The 22,655-nt window shown below is 46.4% G+C and overlaps 1 protein-coding gene across 8 annotated transcripts in view, besides 5 other annotated features; it reads left to right on the forward strand.

The window, feature by feature from the left end:
- Nucleotides 4,736–4,795: a silencer, noted in NCBI's record as "silent region_3512". NCBI's record gives its function as "represses an Ori minimal core promoter by ATAC-STARR-seq in GM12878 lymphoblastoid cells {active_cell/tissue: GM12878}" and the evidence as "EXISTENCE:reporter gene assay evidence [ECO:0000049][PMID:35858748]".
- Nucleotides 15,413–16,300: an enhancer, noted in NCBI's record as "H3K27ac hESC enhancer chr11:65028571-65029458 (GRCh37/hg19 assembly coordinates)". NCBI's record gives its function as "activates a minimal SCP1, AML or CMV promoter by ChIP-STARR-seq in primed H9 embryonic stem cells {active_cell/tissue: H9 hESC(primed)}" and the evidence as "EXISTENCE:reporter gene assay evidence [ECO:0000049][PMID:30033119]".
- The window catches only part of POLA2 (DNA polymerase alpha 2, accessory subunit), a 44,024-nt gene continuing 37,643 nt past the window's right edge, over nucleotides 16,275–22,655 (forward strand). For all 8 annotated transcript variants that reach the window (XR_007062468.1, XR_007062469.1, NM_001438747.1 and 5 more), the window contains exons 1-3: nucleotides 16,275–16,684; nucleotides 20,895–21,019; nucleotides 21,790–21,881. Coding sequence is in view for 6 of the 8 variants with exons in the window: in NM_001438747.1 (NP_001425676.1) it covers nucleotides 16,606–16,684; nucleotides 20,895–21,019; nucleotides 21,790–21,881 (296 nt within the window). In the remaining 2 variants the exon portion in view is untranslated. The remainder of the gene's footprint in view (nucleotides 16,685–20,894; nucleotides 21,020–21,789; nucleotides 21,882–22,655) is intronic.
- Nucleotides 16,295–16,544: an enhancer, noted in NCBI's record as "active region_4952". NCBI's record gives its function as "activates an Ori minimal core promoter by ATAC-STARR-seq in GM12878 lymphoblastoid cells {active_cell/tissue: GM12878}" and the evidence as "EXISTENCE:reporter gene assay evidence [ECO:0000049][PMID:35858748]".
- Nucleotides 16,295–17,186: a biological region, named in NCBI's record as "H3K27ac hESC enhancer GRCh37_chr11:65029459-65030344".
- Nucleotides 16,301–17,186: an enhancer, noted in NCBI's record as "H3K27ac hESC enhancer chr11:65029459-65030344 (GRCh37/hg19 assembly coordinates)". NCBI's record gives its function as "activates a minimal SCP1, AML or CMV promoter by ChIP-STARR-seq in naive H9 embryonic stem cells {active_cell/tissue: H9 hESC(naive)}" and the evidence as "EXISTENCE:reporter gene assay evidence [ECO:0000049][PMID:30033119]".

Raw genomic sequence — 22,655 nt, forward strand, 5'->3', positions numbered from 1 at the left:
CTGACCATGAAGTTTCCTATGACAAGTATAAATGATCTTGAGGTTACAGGTTTCAGGCCACGGAATCAAACCATAAAGCCTTTGACTACCATTGTCCTTAGCCAAAAACACTGGCCAGGAACTATTAAATAAAAATGAGTGCCCAATGATGACATATAGACTGGGCTGTTTAAATAGGATTCCACATGCCTGGCACCTTTTATAATAATCTTTATGGTAACTGGCAAATCACCTCCAGACTTCTTTTCTTTTCCATCTGGAAACACTGAATAGTCAGTACATTTTATTTTCAAAATCTGTGATAACAAGTTTAGGCACAGTGGCTCACGCCTGTAATCCCAGCACTTTGGGAGGCCAAGGTGGGAGGATCTCTTGAGACCAGGAGTTAGAGACCAGCCTAGGCAACATCAGAAGACTCCATCTCTGCTAAAAAAAATTTAGCTGGGCATGGTAGTGTGTGCCTGTAGTCCCTGCTACTTGGGAGCCCTAGGTGGGAGGATCACCTGAGCCCAGGGAGGTTGAGGCTGCAGTGAGCTACGATGGTTCCAGGCTGGGTGACAGAGTGAGACTTTGTCTCAAAAAAAAAAAAAAAAAAATATATATATATATATATACACATATATATATATATATATATATATATATATATGTATCTGTATATATGAATGACAACCTTCTTACTGAAATCTCTATACATTTCCAAGTATTATTAGGCCATGTGGCTATGTGGCTGCAAGGAGACGGCTCAAGGTCAAGGTGCCCGGAGGATTCAGGATACCAGTGATTGCCTGGGCCTGGTTCACAGGCAGATCAGCTAAATGAAAGACCGAAGGTGTCCTGGGCCATTGCTGCTGTGCAGCCCTCAAGGAAGTTGCTGACAACTGTGTGTGGAAAAGAGAACTCTGCTTAATCTGGGCTGTGGTGTTGCCCCAGAAAACAGCAGCCAGAATGCACCTTGTTACATCGTCACCCACCCATGACCACACTGGTCAGACCTGTGCAGCCAGGCAGCAGGTATGTTCAAAAGATGGACTTTTGCCTTTAAAGTTTAGCTCTAAATGCAGGTGTCTCCCCGGAGGAATGCCCCCCACCAACTTAAATAATTGTTTGATTACGAGGTTGGGGAGGAGCAAGGAGGCCGAGACTGGCTGGATGAGACCAAACCACATAACTCACCCTTCTCCCTCTTCTGCTTTCTTTCCATGCCTACTCTGGGAAAACAGGCTACTGGACTTTCAAGTAGCAAAGAAGAGAGTGAGTGCTGAGGACGGGGAGTTCTAACCTCATGCTTCTTTTGCAGCCACTCTGGTTGCTGGATTTGGGCAATTATGGAGACCAATGATAATGATCATGAACATGAGGTGACAGCTCCCAATGTGGACCTGGCATGGCCCACAGTCAGGCAGCAGATGTTTTAGAATAGTACAAGGTGAAGCCGGGCGTGGTGGCTCACACCTGTCATCCCAGCACTTTGGGAAGCCGAGGTGGGCAGATCACCTGAGGTCAGGAGCTCAAGACCAGCCTGGCCAACATGGTGAAACCCCGTCTCTACTAAAAATACAAAAATTAGCTGGGCATGGTGGTAGGCACCTGTAATCCCAGCTACTCAGGAGGCTGACGCCTGAGAACCACTTATAGCTGGGAGGCAGAGGTTGCAGTGAACTGAGATCGTGCCACTGCACTCCAGCCTGGGCGATAGAGCGAGACTCAGTCTCAGAAAAAAGAAAAGAAAAGAGCGAGACTCAGTCTCAGAAAAAAGAAAAGAAAGGAAAAGAAAAGAAAAAAGAAAAGAAACGAAACAAGGTGTATAAGGAGAAACTGCCTGGCCTCCTAGGCACAAGTCTGGGCAAATGGTATGGGGAAGACCTGGCGGAGATTAGAAAAAGGGTGAAGCCATCGCTGCAGGAACTTGTCATGGGGACCCTGGGGCTGTGGAGGGAGAACGGGATCCACAGCTGGAGGGAAGGAAACTGGGAGGTCAGGTGGAGACAGGGACCACTGAGCTCTTTCAGCTCCTGTCCATAGGATGTTCAGCCAGTTCAACCCAGACTGCCACTGCCACCTCAACTTGAGCACTGACCAATGAAGAATCTTAATCAGAAGTTTCCCAACATGCCGGACGTGGCTCACGCCTCTAATCACAGCACTTTGGGAGACGGAGGCAGGCAGATTGCTTGAGCCCAGGAGTTCAAGACTAGCCCGGGCAACAAGGTGAAACCCCGTCTCTACTAAAAATACAAAAACTAGCCATGTATGGTGACACATACCTGTAGTCCCAGCTACTTGAGAGGCTGAGGTGGGAGGATCACCTGAGCCCAGGAAGGCCAAGGCTGCAGTGAGCTGTGATCCAGCCTGGCTGACAGAGCGAGACTACATCTCAAAAAAATAAATGAGCTGGGCTCAGTGGCTCACATCTGTAATCCCAGCACTTTGGGAGGCCAAGGCAGGCAGATCACCTGAGGTTAGGAGTTCAAGACCAACCTAGCCAACATGGTGAAACCCCCATCTCTACTAAAAATACAAAAATTAGCTGGACATGGTGGCACACACCTGTAGTTCCAGCTACTCAGGAGGCTTAGGCAGGAGAATCGCTTAAATCCGGGAGGCGGAGGTTGCAGTGAGCCGAGATTGTGCCACTGCACTCCAGCCTGGGTGACAGAGCAAGACTCTGTCTTAAATAAATAAATAAATAAATGAATAAATAAATAAATAAATAAAAGAAACTTCCCAACAGCTACTGGCTCCGCCAGGAAGGAACAGCCTGCACTTAACACAATGGTACAAGATTCACTTTCTGAGCTGGTTTGATTCCTTTTGTTTCATCCTGTTATTTTTGGATGGTTTTGTGTGTTTTTCACAGACTGTTTGTTCGGAATGCACCAACACAAGTGGCCATGGACAATCACGTTGCCCTGGACTTCCTTGGAGTCAGCCGAGGTGGGGTATGTGTGGTGGCCAGCACCTCTTGCCTCACAATTTGCTTAATGGCATATTTTGGTGGCTTGGCTCTGGCTCGGACCCTGGCTGTGTAGGCCTGGTCAGCCTGCTGGCAGTCACAGTTAACGGCCACATTCATCTCATGTTCTCTAAAGAAAATAAAATAGTTGGTTGGGCGCAGTGGTTCACGCCTGTAATCCCAGCACTTTGGGAGGCTGAACCGGGCAGATCACCTGAGGTCAAGAGTTCGAGACCAGCCTGGCCAACATGGCGAAACCCCATCTCTACTAAAAATACAAAAATTAGCCAGGCATGGTGGCGTGCACCTGTAATCCCAGCTACCCGGGAGGCTGAGGCAGGAGAATTGCTGGAACCTGGGGGGGCGGAGGCTGCAGTGAGCAGAGATTGTGCCACTGCACTCCAGCCTGGGTGACAGAGCAAGACTCCATCTCAAAAAATAAAATAAAATATAAAATAAAATAAAATAAAATAAAATAAAATAAAATAATAAAATAAAATAAAATAAAATAAAATAAAATAAAATAAAAAAATAAAATAAAATAAAATAAATAAAATGTTTTGGGGCCGGGCATGGTGGCTGACACCTGTAATCTCAGCACTTTGGGAGGCTGAGGCCAGCAGATAGCTTGAGCTCAGGAGTTCGAGGCCAGCCTGGGCAACATGGTGAAACCCTGTCTCTAATTCAAAAAGAAAAAAATGATTTTGAGGCCAGGCAGTGGCTCACACTTGTAATCCCAGTGCTTTGGGAGGCAGAGGCGGGTGGATCACTTGAGTTCAGGGGTTCGAGACCAGCCTGAGCAATATGGTGAAACCATGTTTCTACAAAAAAATACAAAAAATTTTAAATAATTGTTTAATTATGGTATTGCTGGGTGCAGTGGCTCACGCTTGTAATCCCAGCACTTTGGGAGGCCAAGGCAGGCAGATCACTTGAGGTCAGCAGTTCGAGACCAGCCTGACCAATGTGGTGAAATCCCATCTCTACTAAAAAAACAAAAATTAGCTGGGCATGGTGGCGCACACCTGTAATCCCAGCTACTTGGGAGGCTGAGGCACAAGAATTGCTTGAAGCTGGGAGGCAGAGGTTGCAATGAGCTGAGATCATGCCACTGCACTCCAGCCTAGGCAACAGAGAAAGACCCTATCTCCAAAAAAAAAAATTATATATATATATATGGTGGTGGCATGTGTCTGTAGTCCCAGCTACTTGAGAAGCTGAAGCAGGAGGATCACTTGAGCCCAGGAGGCAGAGTGCAAACAACTACAGTATCTGATGTGGCAGCTATACCTCTGAGAGTCCTTAGCTGGATACATGAAAGGCCAGAGACCAGCCAGGTGTGGGGGCTCACGCCTGTAATCCTAGCACTTTGGGAGGCCAAGGCAGGTGAATCACCTGAGGTCAGGAGTTCGAGATCAGCCTGGACAACATGGTGAAACCCCATCTCTACTAAAAATACAAAAATTAGCCGGATGTGGTGGTGCATGCCTGTAATCCCAGCTACTCGGGAGGCTGAGGCAGGAAAATCACTTGAACCTGGGAGGTGGAGGTTGCAGTGAGCCGAGATGGTGCCACTGCACTCCACCCTGAACAACAAAGTGAGACTCCATCCCAAAAAAAGAAAGAAAGAGAGAGAGAGAGAGAGAAAGAAAGAAAGAAAGAAAGAAAGAAAGAAAGAAAGAAAGAAAGAAAGAAAGAAAGAAAAGAAAGAAAGAGAAGACTGGCCAGAGACCAAAATACTTAGGCCAGGTGGCAAAGGCTTCAGCTGCAGCTCATCTGAGTCTTGGCATCAGATGATGCCTCTTGCGATCATCCAGAGGGTCAAAGGCCTATAGGAGTTACTACCAGGCCACCTCCCATTGGCCTCCCCGTCTCCCCCTGGAGGCTGTCATGAGACGGTTCTGCATCACCTCCAGGTTCTGTGAGATCTGAGGCTCTGCACCCTGCCCTCCTCTGAATACAGCTGCAGAAGATAAAATTACTCAGCTGCATCTGGAACAGGCTCCTCAGCTACGGGGCATCGCCCAACTCCCCTTGCAGTCACAAGCCCCTTCTCTTTCAGGGTCTTCCTTTTTGGCGTAGAGGACAAGGACCGCAGGGGCTGGCACCTTAGGCTTGTCCTCCTTTTCACTGTCTATGTAGAGAATAAACCCTAAATCTAAAAGTGGTTCATCGTGCCTTTACAGGTCAAATCAGTCAGGACTTGGCCTCTGCCTGGCCTCGTTGGATGTGAGCTTGACAGTGGCCTATTGCTCCACCTCTCATCTTAACTAAGGTTGAATCAGAGAATTTGGGATAGAATTTTTGGCTGTCACACAGGTCTAATAATGCCCCTGAGCTTGGGAGAGACAACTGATTTATGGAACCTCAATAAATATTGGTGACTGGCTTTGAAATTAAGACACAGGGATTATATCTGGAAGGCTTCCATTTAAATGGGTCACATGAAAGGTTTAATCCCTGAAGGAATATATACATATATATTCCTTCTATATAGGAATCTATATAGAAGGATTCTATATAGGAATCTACATAGGAATCTATCTATATATATGTGTGTGTATATATATAGATATATAGATATACATATACACACACACATATATATATATATAGAGAGAGAGAGAGAGAGACAGAGTTTTGCTCTTGTCACCCAGGCTGGAGTGCAATGACATGATCTCGGCTCACTGCAACCTCCGCCTCTCAGGTTCAAGCAATTCTCCTGCCTCCAACTCCTGAGTAGCTGGGATTACAGGCACCTGCCACCACACCCAGCTAATTTTTGTATTTTTAGGGGAGATGGGATTTCAACATGTTGGCTAGGCTGGTCTTGAACCCCTGACCTCAGATGATCCACCTGCCTCAGCTTCCCAAAGTGCTGGGATGACAGGTGTGAGCCACCGCGCCCGGCTGGAATATTTATATATTGAGGACACCTTGTTTCCTGATGGAGAGCCAACAAGATGTAAGTTACCAGTGTGCTGGACAAATACCCAGAAGCTCTTTCCCAACAATCCTCTAGAAGAATGAGGCCAGGGAGTACATTTCTTTGACCACAAGGGCGTGTGTGGAGAAGCCTCAGTGATCAGTAGCAGTGAGACAGTAGGATCGGGTTCTTGGAGTTGCTCCACAGCGGCGGCACAGGAAACTTCCAGATCATCCAGACTGCACTCACGCTATTCCCTGCGTGCCTGCTCACCTGCCACAACTTCCTGCAGAACTTCACAGCCATACCCCAGAACATCACTGCCGGACAGGTGATAACTGGACCAATAGATCTCCTGTCCGAGCCGTGTCAGGGATAGGGACCTGCTGGGGGTCTTCATTCTGCTGAGCAAGGACCCAAAGCTTGAGCAATGCTTGAGGGTCTCTGAGCCCCAGTGGCAGATCTTAAACCACAGCAGCTCCTCCTCTTTGGGCCTGGGCAGTGAGGCCTGTCTGGATATATGACCAGAGCACCGTGGCCTCCTCCAGCATCACTGAGCAGGGGCAAAGCTACAGCGGAGTGCTGAACCTTCAAATCACCTTTTAAACTTTCTTTTAATCAAGATATAACCGGCCGGGCGCGGTGGCTCATGCCTGTAATCCCAGCACTTTGGAAGGCCAAGGTGGGCAGATCACCTGAGGTCGGGAGTTCGAGACCAGCCTGGCCAACATGGAGAAACCCCGTCTCTACTAAAAATACAAAATTAGCCGGGCATGGTGGCGCATGCCTGTAATCCCAGCTACTAGGGAGGCTAAGGCAGGAGAATCACTTGAACCTGGGAGGCAGAGGTTGTGGTGAGCTGAGATTGCGCCACTGCACTCCAGCCTGGGCAACAAGAGTGAAACTCTGTCTCAAAAAAAAAAAAAAAAAAAAGAGATATAACCTTTTCCATTAAATGTAAATTTAAGTACAGCTGGATAACTTTTATATTTTGTTTTGCCTATGTTTGAATTTCATATAAACAAAACCATATAGAATGTATTCCTTAGGCTGGGCACGGTGGCTGGGTGACAGGGTGAGACTCCGCCTCAAAAAAAAAAAGAATGTATTCTTTTTTTTTTTTTTAGACAGAGTCTTGCTCTGTCACCCAGGCTGGAGTGCAGTGGTGCAATCTCGGCTCACTGTAACCTCCACCTCTTGGGTTCAAGCGATTCTCCTGCCTCAGCCTCCTGAGTACCTGTGATTACAGGCACCCGCCACCATGCCCAGCTAATTTTTGTATTTTTAGTAGACATGGGTTTTCGTCATGTTGGCCAGGCTGGTCTTGAACTCCTGACCTCAGGCGATCTGCCCGCCTCGGCCTCCCAAAGTGCTAGGATTACAGGCGTGAGCCACCGTGCCTGGCCCAAGCTTTGTTTTTTTAAATCTTGCCTCCCACTATGCAGAAAGCCTCAGTTTCAGATAACAGCACGGAGGGATTTTGGGAGGAAGAAAATTTGAATAACAACAATATTGATGTTGGCAAGGATGTGGAGAAAAGGAAACTCTTTTTTTTTTTTTTTGAGACAGAGTCTCCCTCTGTTGCCCAGGCTGGAGTGCAGTGGCGCGACCTTGGCTCACTGCAATCTCTGCCTCCTGGGTTCAAGTGATTCTCCTGCCTCAGCCTCCTGAGTAGCTGGGATTACAGGCGCCTGCCACCATGCCGGCTAATTTTTGTATTTTTAGTAGAGATGGGGTTTCACCATGTTGGCCAGGCTGGTCTTGAACTCCTGACCTCAAGTGATCCACCAGCCTCAGATTCCCAAAGTGCAGGGATTACAGGTGTAAGCCATCATGCCAGGCCAAAAAGGGAACTCTTATACACTATTGGGGGATTGTAAATTAGTACAACTTCTATGGAAGACAATACAAGGGTTTCTCAAAGAACTAAAAATAGAACTAACATGTGCTCCAGCAATCTCACTATTGAGTGTCTACCCAAAGCAATCATTACATCGAAAAGGTACCTGCACCAGTACATTTACCACAGCACTATTCACAAGAGCAAAGACATGGAATCAACCTAAGTGTCCATCAACAGATGATTGGATAAAGAAAATGTGGTACATATACACCATGGAATACTATTGGGTCATAAAAAAGAATGAAATCATGTATTTTGCAGTCACATGGATGGAACTGGAGGACATACATGGATGGAACTGGAGGACATTCATGGATGGAACTGGAGGACATTAAGTAAAACAAATCAGACACAGAAAGACAAATACTGCACATTCTCAATTCTAAGAGGGAGCTAAATAATATGTACACATGGACGTAGAGTGTGGAATGGTAGAGAACTGAGACTCAGAAGGGTGAGTGGGGGTGAATGGGGGTAGGTGATCAGAGATTACTGAATGGATACAATGTGTGTTATTTAGGTGACAGATACCCTAAAAGTCCTGACTTCACCACTACACAATCTATGCATGTAACAAAATTACACTCACACCCCATAAAGTTATACACATGAAATAAATAAATAGTGTAAAAGACAGTCCTGGAGAAACTCAGACCAGACCCTGAGGACCATGCTACACTGCCACCACCTGGTGGCAATATACCTACAGTGTAGGGCGGTGCCTCCCAAAATTCCCAAATTCCCGACTTCTGGAGAGCATCAAAAATAAATAAAACATGTACTCACACTACTGAACTGTACACTTACAAACGGTTAAGATCATACATGTTATGTTATGTGTTTTTACCACAATTAAAACACAGATGACTAGGCGTGGTGGCTCACGCCTGTAATCCCAGCACTTTAGGAGGCCGAGGCAGGTGAATCACCAGAGATCAGAGGTTCGAAACCAGCCTGGCCAACATGGTGAAACCCCGTTTCTACTAAAAATACAAAATTAGCCAGGCGTGGTGGTGCATGCCTGTAATCCCAGCTACTTGTGAGGTTGAGGCAGGAGAATTGCTTGAACCTCAGAGGCGGAGGTTGCAGTGAGCCAAGATTGCGCCACTGTACTCCAGCCTGGGCAATAAGAGTGAAACTCTGTCCCAAACAAACAAACAGACTAACTAACAAAAAACAAACCACATAAATAACAGTGTAAAATAAATGAAATAAAAGTATAAAATAGGCTGGGCATGGTGGCTCACGCCTGTAATCCCAGCACTTTGAGGGGCTGAGGCAGGTGGATCACTTGAGCCCAGGAGCTCAAGACCAGCCTGGGCAACATGATGAAACCCCGTCTCTACAACAACAACAACAACAACAAAACACTGTAAAACCCCATCTCTACGAAACAAACAAACAAACCAAAACCAAAAATTAACCGGGTCATGGCGGTGTGTACCTGAAGTCCCAGCTACTTGGGAGGCTATGGTGGGACGATCACGTAAGCCCAGGGAGGTCAAGGCTGCAGTGAGTCATGATCAAGCCACTGCACTCCAGCTTGGGCAACAGAACAAGACTCTGCCTGAAACAAAACAAAACCAAACCTAAAATTCCTCTTTGGCATCCTTGGTGTGTGTGTGTAACTATATGCATAATATATATTATTATCTATATATGTTATATATTCTATAAAATCTTATATATGTCACATACTATACATACTTCTGCTATCTGACTCAATTCTCTCAAAGCCACCCTTCATCCTTTTGCAGTTTCCAAACATATAAATTATCAGAGTTAAAATCATGTTCCATCTGATTTCCACTCTGTGCTCACTCCAGGTGGGCTACAATACATGTGACCATCCACTCTGTGTGTGCTAACAACAGTGTAAAACTGGACCCTGGCATTAACCTCTTCTATCATTTCACACTAATGTGAGATCCATGAGGTCCCCATTTGCAATCGGAGTCCAGGAAATCAGCTACAGGAGCTGGTTGTAAATTTCACTCCATTGTTGCCTGTGTGCTCCCCACAACAGTTTCTGTAAACCTACCCAGATGCAATGTAAAGGAACCAACTGGTCCACAGTTACTTTCTGTTACTTACAGCTTCGTGACCTCCAGCGAATCACCTCTCTTTTATTGTTGACAATAAAAGACAGTGAATCACCTGTCTTTTATTGTTGAGTTGTAAGAATTCTTGTTTTTGTTTTTGTTTTTTTGAGACGGAGTCTTGCTCTGTCACCGAGGCTGGAGTGCAGTGGCGCCATCTTGCCTCACTGCAAGCTCCGCCTCCTGGGTTCACGCCATTCTCCTGCCTCAGCCTCCCGAGTAGCTGGGACTACAGGCACCCGCCACCACACCCGGCTAATTTTTTGTATTTTTAGTAGAGACAGGGTTTCACCGTGTTAGCCAGGATGGTCTCGATCTCCTAACTTCGTGATCCGCCCGCCTCGGCCTCCCAAAGTGCTGGGATTACAGGCGTGAGCCACCGCACCCGGGCGAGTTGTAAGAATTCTTTATATGTTCTGGATACTAGACACTTCTCAAATATATGATTTGCAAATATTTTCTCCCATTCTGTGGATTGTCTTCTCACTTTCTTGATAGTAATCTTTGATGCACAAAACTTTTTAATACATTATCTTTTAAAAGAAAGTAAATGTTTATTATGATTAAAGTGACACATTTTCTTTCTTTCTTTCCTTTTCTTTTCTTTCTTTCTTTTTTTTTTTTTTTTTTTTTTTGAGATGGAGTCTTGCTGTGTCACCCAGGCCAGAGTGCAATGGTGCAATCTTGGCTCACTGCAACCTCCACCTCCCAGGTTCAAGCGATTCTCCCCAGCCTCAGCCTCCTGAGTAGCTGGGATTACAGGCGACTGCCACTGTGCCCGGCTAATTTTTGTATTTTTAGTAGAGACGAGATTTCACCATGTTGACAAGACTTGTCTCAAACTCCTGACCTCGTGATTTACCCACCTCGGCCTCCCAAAGTGCTGGGATTACAGGCATGAACCACCGCGCCTGGCCTGACACATTTTCTTACACCCATTAGTTAAAGGAGAAAATCATTCCCTTGCGGGGTTGGGTACAATTCAGCAGTCATTCCTAATAAACTCTCTAAGTAAAATAGAACTAGATAAAAAAACAACACCCTGACTATGCTATGCATTCCTTTTTTTTTGTTTTTGTTTTTTTTTTTGAGACAGAGTTTCACTCTGTTGCCCAGGCTAGAGTGCAGTGGTATGATCTCAGCTCACTGCAACCTCCGCCTCCTGGGCTCAAGCAATTCTCCTGCCTCAGCCTCCCAAGTAGCTGAGACTACAGGCGCCTGCCACCATACCCTGCTAATTTTTGTATTTTTAGTAGAGACAGGGTTTCGCCATGTCGGCCAAGCTGCTCTTGAACTCCTGACCTCAGGTGATCTGCCCACCTTGGCCTCCCAAAGTGCTAGGATTACAGGTGTGAGCCATTCTTTTTTTTTTTTTGAGATGGAGTTTTCGCTCTTGCTGCCCAGGCTGGAGTCCAATGGTGCAATCTCAGCTCACTGCAACCTCCGCCTCCCAGTTTCAAGCGATTCTCCTGCCTCAGCCTCTCAAGTAGCTGGGATTACAGGCGCCTGCCACCACGCCCGGCTAATTTTTTGTATTTTTTAGCAGAAACGGGGTTTCACCATGTTGGCCAGGCTGGTCTTGAACTGCTGACCTCGTGATCCACTCGCCTCAACCTCCCAAAGTGCAGATTATGCATTCTTAACACAACCCAATAACACCCATCACACCGAAGGAGGCCATGCTGAAGCCAGTGCCATCAGCAACAGGAAGAAGGCAAGGATGCCTACTGTGATTCAACAATGATTCCAAGGTTTGGTTCAATGCACCAAGACAGGAAAATAAAATGATTAGTATCAATATTTGAGAAGAAGGGAAAAATATTTTTTATTAGAAAATGTTATTATAATCTAGGAAATCTGAGACTCTCCTAAAACATTAATATTATTAAGAGAATTTGGTCAAAGTGACTGGTTGCAAGAAATATGTCCAAGGCTGGGAGTTGTGGCTCACACCTGTAATCCCAGCACTTTGGGAGGCTGAGGCGAGTGGATTGTTTGCGGCTAGCAGTTCCAGATCCATCTGGGCAACATGGTGAAACCCTGAATCTACAGAAAATTCAAAAGTTAGCCGGGCATAGTGGCGTACACCTATAGTTCCAGCTACCTGGGAGGCTGAGGTGGAAGGCTTGAGTGACTGTAATCACACCACTGCACTCCAGCCTGGTCAACAGAGTGAGATCTTGTCTAAAAAAAAAAAAAAAATTTACAATCCAAAAGCCAGTAACTTTCCTTTAACTGGCAATGACAAAACAAAAAACAATACGGGAGAAACATTACATTCATAAAAGCAACAGAAGATATTGTGTCAATAAATTGAACAAAAACAGGGTCTATATGGGAAAAACTATAAAATTGGATTGATAGACAAAGACAAAAAGCCTAAAAAAATGAAGAGATATACCAGGATCCTGTTTGGAATGCTTAAAGTATTCATTTCTCCTAAATATATAAAAATATTTAAGTCCTTCCTATCAGAATGGAGGGGGATAGGATATACTGTATAAAATGACTTTAAAAGTTTAAAATGGTTTCCTAAAAACTAGGCCAGGCACAGTGACTCACACCTGTAATCCCAGCACTTTGGGAGGCCAAGGCAAGAGGATTGCTTGAGCCCAGGAGTTCCAGACAAGCCTGGGCAACACAGCAAGACCTTGTCTCTATTAAAAAACAAAAATATTAGCCAGGTGTGCGTGGTGGTGTAATCCCAGCACTCTGGGAGGCCGAGACTGGTGGATCACCTGAGGTCAGGAGCTTGAGACCAGCCTGGCCAACATGGTGAAACCCCATCCCTACTAAAAATACAAAACTAGCTGGGTGTGGTGATGGGCGCTTGCATTCCCAGCTACTCGGGAGGCTGAGGCATGAGAATCGCTTCAATCTGGGAGGCGGAGGTTGCAGTGAGCCGAGATCGCTCCACTGCACTCCAGCCTGGGCAACAGAATGAGACACTGTCTCAAAAACAAAAACAAAAACAAAAACAAAAACAAAAAAACAGCCAGGTGTGGTGGTGCGTGCCTGTAGTCCCCGCTACTTAGGAGACTGAGGTGGGGGGATGGCTTGAACCCAGGAGATTGAGGCTGCAGGGAGCTTGATCACACCACTGCATTCCAGCCTGGGCAACAAAGTAAGATCCTGTCCCCCCCCAAAAAAAATAGTAAAATGCTTCAACAGTTTTGGGAAGTTACTGTAAAGCTACCTGGGGCAAACACTACTAAGTGCTTACCTAGTATTAACTCCTTTCTTAGTAACAAAATTTGTATATTGATGGGGTAGCAATGTGTTTCCTCAATAATATTACAATATAACTTTTAAACCTATAAGGAGGCTTTCCCAGCCTCCTTTAAAGGTATGGCTATGTGGCTAAAGTATAAGCAAAAGTGGTTGGGAAGGACTTCTAGAAAGACTCCTCTTCAAAAATGTATAGACAACGGTTTGCAAAAGTCATTTTTTTGTTTCTTTTTTCCCTTTTCATTTCATTTCTCTTTTCACTCTCTTTTCTTGCTTTATGTTTTTAAAATTTTATTTGCCCTTTCTTCTTCCTACTTTCTGCTACCTGGAATGGAATGTGAATCTGATGGCTGGAATTCCAGAAGCCATCTTGGACAATGAGGTGACTGTAAGGATGGAGATTAATTCGAGGACAGTGGAGTGGAACGATGGAGGCCTGATGAACGTGAAGCCACCATTTTAGCCCTGGGCTACCTATCTCTGAAATTATTTTATCTGACGAGAGAAATAAACTTCTATTTTGTCTCAGCTACTATTGTTTTAGGACTTGGCTATGTCACAGATCTAAAACCCACTTGATTTACTCCTGCAATCAAAATATATTGACACAGAAAAGACAACAAATAAATCAGTGGAATAAAACAGAAAATCCAGAAACAGATTCAAGTGTTTATGGGGACTTGATACATGAAAGATCACAATTCAAGTCAGTTGAAGAATGTTTTATTTACTAAGTATAACTGCTGACATGCTGGCTGTTTGTCAGGAATAAAACAAAGCTAAATCCTTCCTCACATCACAAATAAGATTAATTCTAGGTGGATTAGCGAACTAAAGGCAAAACGTAAGTAAAATTAATAAAACAAAAATTGGAAGAATATTTGCATAAGCTTAGGTCGAGGAGACCTTATTAAACAAAGCAGGAAACCTAAAACCCATACAGGAAAAGAATTGCACAGTGTTGTGTGGTAGAAAAAAAAACCCACAAAGTTAAAAGACAGGTTGGGAAAAATATGTATGTAACACATTTGATATCCATTGGTTATTGCTGATGGTGGGAAACTGCAAACATTTTCCGTAAAGAGCCAGAGAGTAAATATTTGAGGCTTAAGGGTGTGAACCCCAAAAGAGGTTCATGATGGATCCGGAGTGGCTAACTAGGCCTAAATTCAAAATACAGCCAAGCAGCCATTGGCTGACTAGAGGTCACACATACTTCGGTTTTTGTTTGCTTTTTTTTTTTTTTAGGCGGAGTCTCGCTCTGTTGCCCAGACTGTAGTGCAGTGGCACAATCTCGACTTACTGCAAGCTCCGCCTCCCGGGTTCACGCCGTTCTCCTGCCTCAGCCTCCCAAGTAGCTGGGACTACAGGTGCTCGCCACCACGCTAGGCTTTCTTTTTTTTTTCTTTTTTTTTTTTTTAGTAGAGACGGGGTTTCACCGTGTTAGCCAGGATGGTCTCGATCTCCTGACCTCGTGATCCTCCCGCCTCGACCTCCCAAAGTGCTGGGATTACAGGCGTGAGCCACCGCACCCGGCCTTTGTTTGCTTTTTGAGACACGATCTTGCTCTGTCGCCCAGGCTGGAGTGCAGTGAGGCGATCATGACTCACTTCAGCCTCGACCTCCCGAACTCAAGCGCTCCTCCAGCCTCAGCCCCCAGAGTGGCTGAGATCACAAGAACCCGCCACCACCGCCCGCTAATTTTTTGTAGAGAAGGGGTTTCGCCACGTTGCCCAGGCCGATCTTGAACTCCTGGGCTCAAGTTAAGGGAGGAGACCACCCCTCATATTGTCTTACGCCCAATTTCTGCCTCCAAAGAAAGAAAAAGTAAAACTAAAAGGCAGAAATGAAATCCACAAGCAGACAGCCCGGCCTCACACCCTAGGCTTGGTAAAGATGGACCCCTGACCTAATCAGTTATGTTATCTATAGATTACAGACACTGTATAGAAAAGCACTGTGAAAATCCCTATCCTGTTTTGTTCTGATCTAATTACTGGTGCATGCAGCCCCCAGTCACGTACCCCCTGCTTGTTCAATTGATCACGACCCTCTCAGGCGCACCCCCTTAGAGTTGTGAGCCCTTAAAAGGGACAGGAATTGCTCATTCGGGGAGCTCGGCTGGTGAGACAGGAGTCTTGCCGATGACCCCAGCCGAATAAACCCCTTCCTTCTTTAACTCGGGTGTCTGAGGAGTTTTGTCTGTGGCTCGTCCTGCTACAAAGTGATCCGCCTGCCTCGGCCTCCCAAATGCTGGGATTACAGGCGTGAGTGACCGCACCTGGCCTGGGATGGACATTTTAAAGGTTCCTGATACATATTGCTAAATTGTTTTCTCGAAACGCTCTATACCATCCCACCAGCATTGTATGACGCCTACGGTTGAGATTTTTGGCTCAAAGAATTACGGTGTATTTCAAGGGGAGAACCCTCTTCTCATCTTACCCCTAAACTCTATCCTTGAGTGACCTACCTTCACTCCCAAGCCTCCAGTCACCCACTGGGAATCTCTACCTGGAAATCCCAGAGGCACTCAAACTTAACGTGTCCAAAACTAAATTATCCGTCACCTTCCCACCTCATATCCCCCCAAATGCCCCAGATTCAGAAAACATACCCATCACTGTGGCTGGCACCACGGTGATAAGCACGATAATAACCATGGCAACCAGATTCCCTACTGAAGCCATTCTTTTAGGATGAACCAAGGGCACAACAGGCAGAGATGACAAGGGGAATGGAGAAGGGGGTACAGTAAGTTTTAGATAGTCGAAGGCACGCGCACGACAACGCCTGCGCACCACGGAACAGGGCAAAAGGGTGACAAACATGCGCCACTGAGTTTTATCGAGCAGCCGATGCCCAGAAAACAGGCATCCGCACACAGACTCAGTTTCCTTGTAGGCAACTCCCGGGCGTTGCGAGTCACAACCGGCATTCTCGCGCCGTGAGAGAGAACTGCGCAGCTGCTGACTGGCGGGCCGCCAGGCGCGTGCGTAGAGACGCCCACACGCCCGCTGATGCGCACGCGCCCTGGGCCGCGCGTGCGCGCGTGGGGTTCCGGAATGAGCCGGGGAAAGCAAGGGGAAGGTTTGGGGTTGGCTCCCGGTTTCGCGCATGCGTGCACTGCACAAACCATTTGGCGGGTTTTTCCGGCCACTCAGTTCTGCCACCGTCACTGAGAAGCTCAGCGGTAGCTTTTGGGAAGCAGGACGTTCTCACCAGGAGAGCGTCCTCTCGAGATTTCTGCTCCCTCCATTCAGGGCGTTTGGGAGCCACCCCTTCATTTTTTAAAAAAAGTATTTCTCTGTGACCGACGGCCGGGGCCTTCTGACGGTCTGAGGTCTTGCTTGGGCCAGTCACCTCCTGTCACGGTCCGCGGAGGGGGGAAGGATAAGAGGGCGAGGAGCTCATCGCTCGCCACCCCCGTGGGCTTCTTGGGCGCAGGTCGGAGCTGGGTGGGCCGGCTCCCCGGCCCCTGGCTTGGGCGACCATGTCCGCATCCGCCCAGCAGCTGGCGGAGGAGCTGCAGATCTTCGGCCTAGACTGCGAGGAGGCTCTAATTGAGAAATGTGAGTCCCGCACCCCTCCCGCCCTGCAGCCGTGCTCCACGCTCTCGCCCGAGTTCCTCGGCGCCTAGAACCGAAAGTGGAGCGCTTCCAATTTCCACTTCCCCTGGAGCAGAGTTCTCGGTGGCTGTGAGATGAAGAATCAAACTTGAGTTTTGAGATTTAGGATGTGGGGACTTTGAAATGCCCACCGGGTACCGCTTGGATGCCAAATCAAAAATAGGAATATGCAGCACGATTTTAAACCAACTCGAAGTTCCCGAAAGGCGGAATTGGGATGTGCTAGATAGAGACTAGGCACTGGTGGCACCTGAGTTTGGAAATTGTTGAAGCCCCGGTAACAAAGCAACAGATGTGGGGGTTTTGAAATGTAGCTTTTTATTCTTGGCTCCTCCCTTTCCAGCCTACACCTTAAACCTCTGCTGATCCATCAGTTATTTTATCATAGCTGTTGGTGGTCTGTGCAAATATGAATCCCTTGAGGTAGGTTCCTAAAATTGAATTTGAGCTGTGGAAGGAGCTTTAGGGAGCTTTACAGATGGAGAAACAGACAAGGAAAGCTAATTGCCTGAGCTGTCTGTGAAGCCAGGTGTCCTGCCTTGGAGTCCCGTGCTGCATCATACGGGTCCATCGTGTTGGTCAAGCTGTAGAGCAGTGTAAGGAGTCATTTGAAGCAAAGCCTGGGAGATGTGGAAGTTCTAGAATCGGTATGAATGTGCACCTGCCTTAACCACTCAACACTTTGAACTTCTTATATACAAAAAGATAACGAAACGTTAATTTATGGTGAGAAATTCCTTTCAGAAACCAGAATACTTCAAGTCTTCATGCCCAGTGCCTTCTCTCTCTCTCTTTTTTTTTTTTTTTTTTTTTGACAGTCTTGTTTTATCACCCAGGCTGGAGTGCAGTGGTGCAATCTCGGCTCACTTCAGCCTCCGCCTCCCAGGTTCAAGCGATTCTCCTGCCTCAGCCTCCCAAGTAGCTGGGATTACAGGCGCCCGCCACCAGGCCCGACTAATTTTTTTTTGTACTTTTAGTAGAGAAGGGGTTTCACCATGTAGGCCAGACTGCTCTCGAACTCCTGACCTCAAGTGATCCACCCACCTTGGCCTTCCAAAGTGCTGGGATTACAGGCATAAGCCAGCAGGCTCGGTCCTTCTCTTTTTAAAAGAAGACTAGCCAGGTGTGGTGGCTCACGCCTGTAATCCCAGCATTTTGGGAGGCCAAGGCAGGTGGATAATCTGAAGTCGAGAATTTGAGACCAGCCTGACCAACATGGAGAAACCCTGTCTCTACTAAAAATACAAAATTAGTCGGGCGTGGTGGCGCATGCCTGTAATCCCAGCTACTCAGGAGGCTGAGGCGGAAGAATCGCTTGAACATGAGAGGCAGAGGTTGTGGTGAGCCGAGATCACACCATTGCACTCTAGCCTGGGCAACAGGAGCGAGACTCTGTCTCAAAAAAAAAAAAAAGACTTAAGTGGAAAACCTGATCATAGTCAGAAATGTATGTGGTAAGCATGAAATCAGCATGAGAGAAATTAGTTATGTGAACCAGATTTGTAAAGGCTTCAGGCCAAGATGCCAGTTGCTTTCATCTCATGGCAATGGCTTTGGAATTGTGGACTTTGGATCATCAGTAACTTCAGTGGCACCTTAATGTTTCCTGACAGTCAACCGTATTTCCCTGTTTTTTTTGTTGTTGTTTGTTTTGTTTTTTGAGATGGAGTTTCTCATTGCCCAGGCTGGAGTGCAATGGTGCAATCTTGGCTCACTGCAACCTCTGCCTCCCGAGTTCAAGCGGTTCTCCTGCCTCAGCCTCCCGAGTAGCTGGGATTACAGGCTCCCGCCACCACGCCCGGCTAATTTTTTGTATTTTTAGTAGAGATGGGGTTTCGCCATGTTGGGCAGGCTGATCTCGAACCCCTGACCTCCAGTGATCCTCCCACCTCGGCCTCCCAAAGTGCTGGGATTATAGGTGTGAGCCACCACACCTGTTCTACTTTTTGTATTTTCAGTAGAGACAAGGTTTCACCATGTTGGCCAGGCTGGTCTTCAACTCCTGACCTCAGGTGATCCGCCCACCCTGGCCTCCCAAAGTGCTGGGATTACACTGCGCCAGGCCCCTGGTCTCTTTACTCTGAGTCTTCCAGATGATTGTTTTCCACCTTCTCCTGTAACATCCTTCTGTCCCACCCTCACTCTCAGCTGACAAATTTCTATTATTTGCTGAAAAATGTAGAAGCATTAGAAAACTTCGATCAGCTACCACCATTATGTCTCACTGACCCATATCTGTGGCATATACCTAGCCTTCTTTCCTATTATAATGAATAAGCTTTCCGTATTCCTAGCAAAATCCAAGTCCTCCACTTGAGTCCTAAACCCCATTCCTTCTGAAGCAATTAAGGACATCACTGGTAATTCTCCTGTCTTACATATTTTCTATTTTCCTTGCTACAAGATTTTTTTCCTACTAGTATAGAAATGTGCTTCCAATCTTGCCTTTAAAATACTCTGTTGACCCTACTTCCCACTCCAGTTCTCTCCTTCCCAATTACAGCAGACCTCAAAAGGGTCGGCCGGGTGCGGTGGCTCACGCCTGTAATCCGAGCACTTTGGGAGGCGGAGGAGGGCGGATCACAAGGTCAAGAGATGGAGACCATCCTGGCCAACGTGGTGAAACCCGGTCTCTACTTAAAATACAAAAATTAGCTGGGCATGGTGGCGCATGCCTGTAGTCCCAGCTACTTGGGAGGCTGAGACAGGAGAATCGCTTGAATCGGGGAGGTGGAGGTTGCAATGAGCCGAGATCGTGCCACTGCATTCCAGCCTGGCAACAGAGTGCAACTCTGTCTCCAAAAAAAAAAGGGGGGGGGCCTTGCCATCTTTAAATATTTCCTCCTTAAATCCATTTCAGTAAGTTCTTTTGTTGCCACCACTTCACCAAAGCTGCTCTACTCAAGGTCACCAGTGACCTTCACCATGCTAAAACCAGTGATGAATTTTCAGTCCTCATCTTGAATTGAATTAGCACCGGCACTTGACACTGTTTGTCATTTTTTCTTTTTTTAAACACATTTTTCTTTTAGCTTCTTAGACACTACTAGTTTTTCTTTCTTTTTTTTCTGAGACAGGGTCTTGCTCTGTTGCCCAGGCTGGAGTATAATGGGCAAATCACAGCTCACTGCAGCCTCAACCTCCTTGGCTCAAGCAATCCTTCCACCTCAGCCCCCAAGTAGCTGTAACTACAGGCACATGCCACCAAGCCCACCTAATTGTTGTATTTTTTATAGAAACGGTTTCACCCTGTTGCCCAAGCTGGTCTCAAACTTCTGGGTTCAAACAGTCTGCCCACCTCAACCTCACAAAATACTGGATTACAGGCGTGAGCCACTGCATCCGGCTTACTCCTAGTTTTTCTTCAGCTTTGCTTGTGTCACCGCTTCTCAGGCTTTGCCGATTCATCCTCAGAGGCCCTAAGGCGCCCCAAGACTCAAGCCTGGGATCTTTTCTCCCTTCTAGATACGCTCACTCCCTTGGCGATCTCACCTGGGGTCTCATAGCTTTATATCCCATGTATTTACTGATGGTTCCCAAATTTATACCTCCGCCCACAACCCTTGCCTGAACTACAGGCTGGTTTGTTCAGCCTGCTGTCTCCAGTTGGATGTCTAAATGGCACCTCAAACTCTGCATGTCTAAAACTAAGCTCCTGGTATCTCCTCTCTCTCCTCAGAGTAGTTCCTCTGGCTCTTTTCCCCATCTCAGTTAATAGGGACGCCACTCTTCCTGTTGCACAGGCTAAAAATATCAGCATCATCCTTGACTTTCTTTTTCTCATACCTTACATTCAGTTAGCAGATCCCACTGGCTTCACTTCCAGCATGTAAAGTCCTATCCAGAGTCCAGCCACTTCTCGCCATCTCCACTGCCACCACCTTGATCCAAGCCACCATCATCTCTCACCTGGGCTTTTCCATGATTCTTTAATTGGTCCCCCTGATTCTGCCCTTATCCTCTTTTGTCTCCCCTCAGTGGTGAGCTTTGTAAGGACAAGGATGCTTCTGTTTTCTCATTGCCCAAAACAGTGCCTGGCACTAATAGATTCTGAATAAACATTGATGGAGTAAACCAGGATTATTTTTGCTTTTCTAGGTGAAACTTCGAGAAATGAACTAAGTTTTTACTTGTCCAATTTTCCTTTCTACAGTGGTAGAGCTTTGTGTTCAGTATGGACAGAATGAGGAGGGAATGGTAGGCGAGCTTATAGCCTTCTGCACCAGCACACATAAAGTTGGCCTTACCTCAGAGATCCTGAACTCTTTTGAGCATGAGGTAAGAACAAAATGAAAGCAAACTAATAATGTGATTCTCCATTTCTGCTCTACAGGGGAGGCATTGTGATATATTGAGAGGAGTGTGGGCTTTCGAGTCAGGCCTGGATTCCAGTCCCAGTGTGAGCTTGGACAAACTATGTCCCTGAGCCTCAGTTTCCTTTTCTGACATTGGGTCTAATAATCTGTATTTTTTATGATTGTTATAAGAATTAAATGGGGCTGGGCGCCGTGGCTCATGCCCATAATCCCAGAACTTTGGGAGGCCGAGGCAGGCAGATCACAAGGTCAGGAGTTCAAGACCAGCCTGGCCAACGTGGTGAAACCCTGTCTCTACTAAAAATACAAAAATTAGTTGGGCATGGTGGCAGGCGCCTGTAATCCCAGGTACTCGGAAAGCTGAGGAAGGAGAATCGCTTGAACCGAGGAGGTGGAGGTTGCAGTGAGCTGAGATTGCGCCACTGCACTCCAGCCTGGGACAGAGCGAGACTCCATCTCAAAAAAAAAAGAAATGAGAATGGACATAAAGCACTTAAAACTATGCCCAGCAGGTGATAAGTCTTCACCAAATAATTGGTATTATTAGGATTGTTATATGTTATAGACAGTCATGGGATGTCTTTGTTTTTAGTCTGTGTGTATCTTAATTCTTTGAGGAATGTTAGATCTTTGATTATATTTTGAATACCTTTTATTATCTCAAGGCTTTTGAAAACACCTCTGCTATTACTTGACTATGAAGTACTGTATTCACTATCTTTTCTTTTTCAGTTTCTGAGCAAAAGATTATCGAAAGCCAGGCATAGTACCTGCAAGGACAGTGGCCATGCAGGAGCTAGAGACATTGTTTCCATTCAAGAGCTGTATCCTTTTCTGCTGAAGGTCTTTGCACCAAGCTACATGTTGTATTTTATAATTTGTCTGTAGTCGCATGTGTAATTTAAAAACAAATAATAAGGCCGGGCACGGTGGCTCAGGCCTGTAATCCCAGCACTTTTGGAGGCCGAGGCAAGCAGATCACTTGAGCCCAGGAATTTGTGACCAACCTGGGCAACATGGTGAAACCCTGTCTCTATCAAAAGTACAAATTTTTTTTTTTTTTTGAGTTGGAGTTTCGCTCTTTTTGCCCAGGCTGAAGTGCAATGGTGCAATCTCAGCTCACTGCAACCTCTGCCTCCCAATCTCAAGTGATTCTCCTGCCTCAGCCTCCTGAGTAGCTGGGATTACAGGTGCACACCACCACACCTGGATAATTTTGTATTTTTTTTGGTAGAGACAGGGTTTCACCATGTTGGCCAGCTGGTCTCGAACTCCTGACCTCAGGTGATCCGCCTGCCTAGGCCTCCCAAAGTCCTGGGATTACAGGCGTGAGTCACCGTGCCCGGCCAAAGTACAAATTAAAAAATAATAATAATAAGCTGGGTGTGGTGATGTACGCCTGTAGATCCAGCTAGTTGGTAGGCTGAGGTGAGAAAATCTCTTGAACCTGGGATGTGGAAGTTGCAGTAATCTGAGATCAGGCCACTGCACTCCATCCTGGACGACGAGGAAACCCCATCTCAATAATAATAATAGTAAAAATTGCCTAATATTGAGATTTCTTCTAGCAATCAGCCCTTGCCTTATATGAAAGTTTA

This window comes from Homo sapiens, chromosome 11 (genome assembly GCF_000001405.40).
Source record: "Homo sapiens chromosome 11, GRCh38.p14 Primary Assembly".
Classification (NCBI taxonomy): Eukaryota; Metazoa; Chordata; class Mammalia; order Primates; family Hominidae; genus Homo; species Homo sapiens.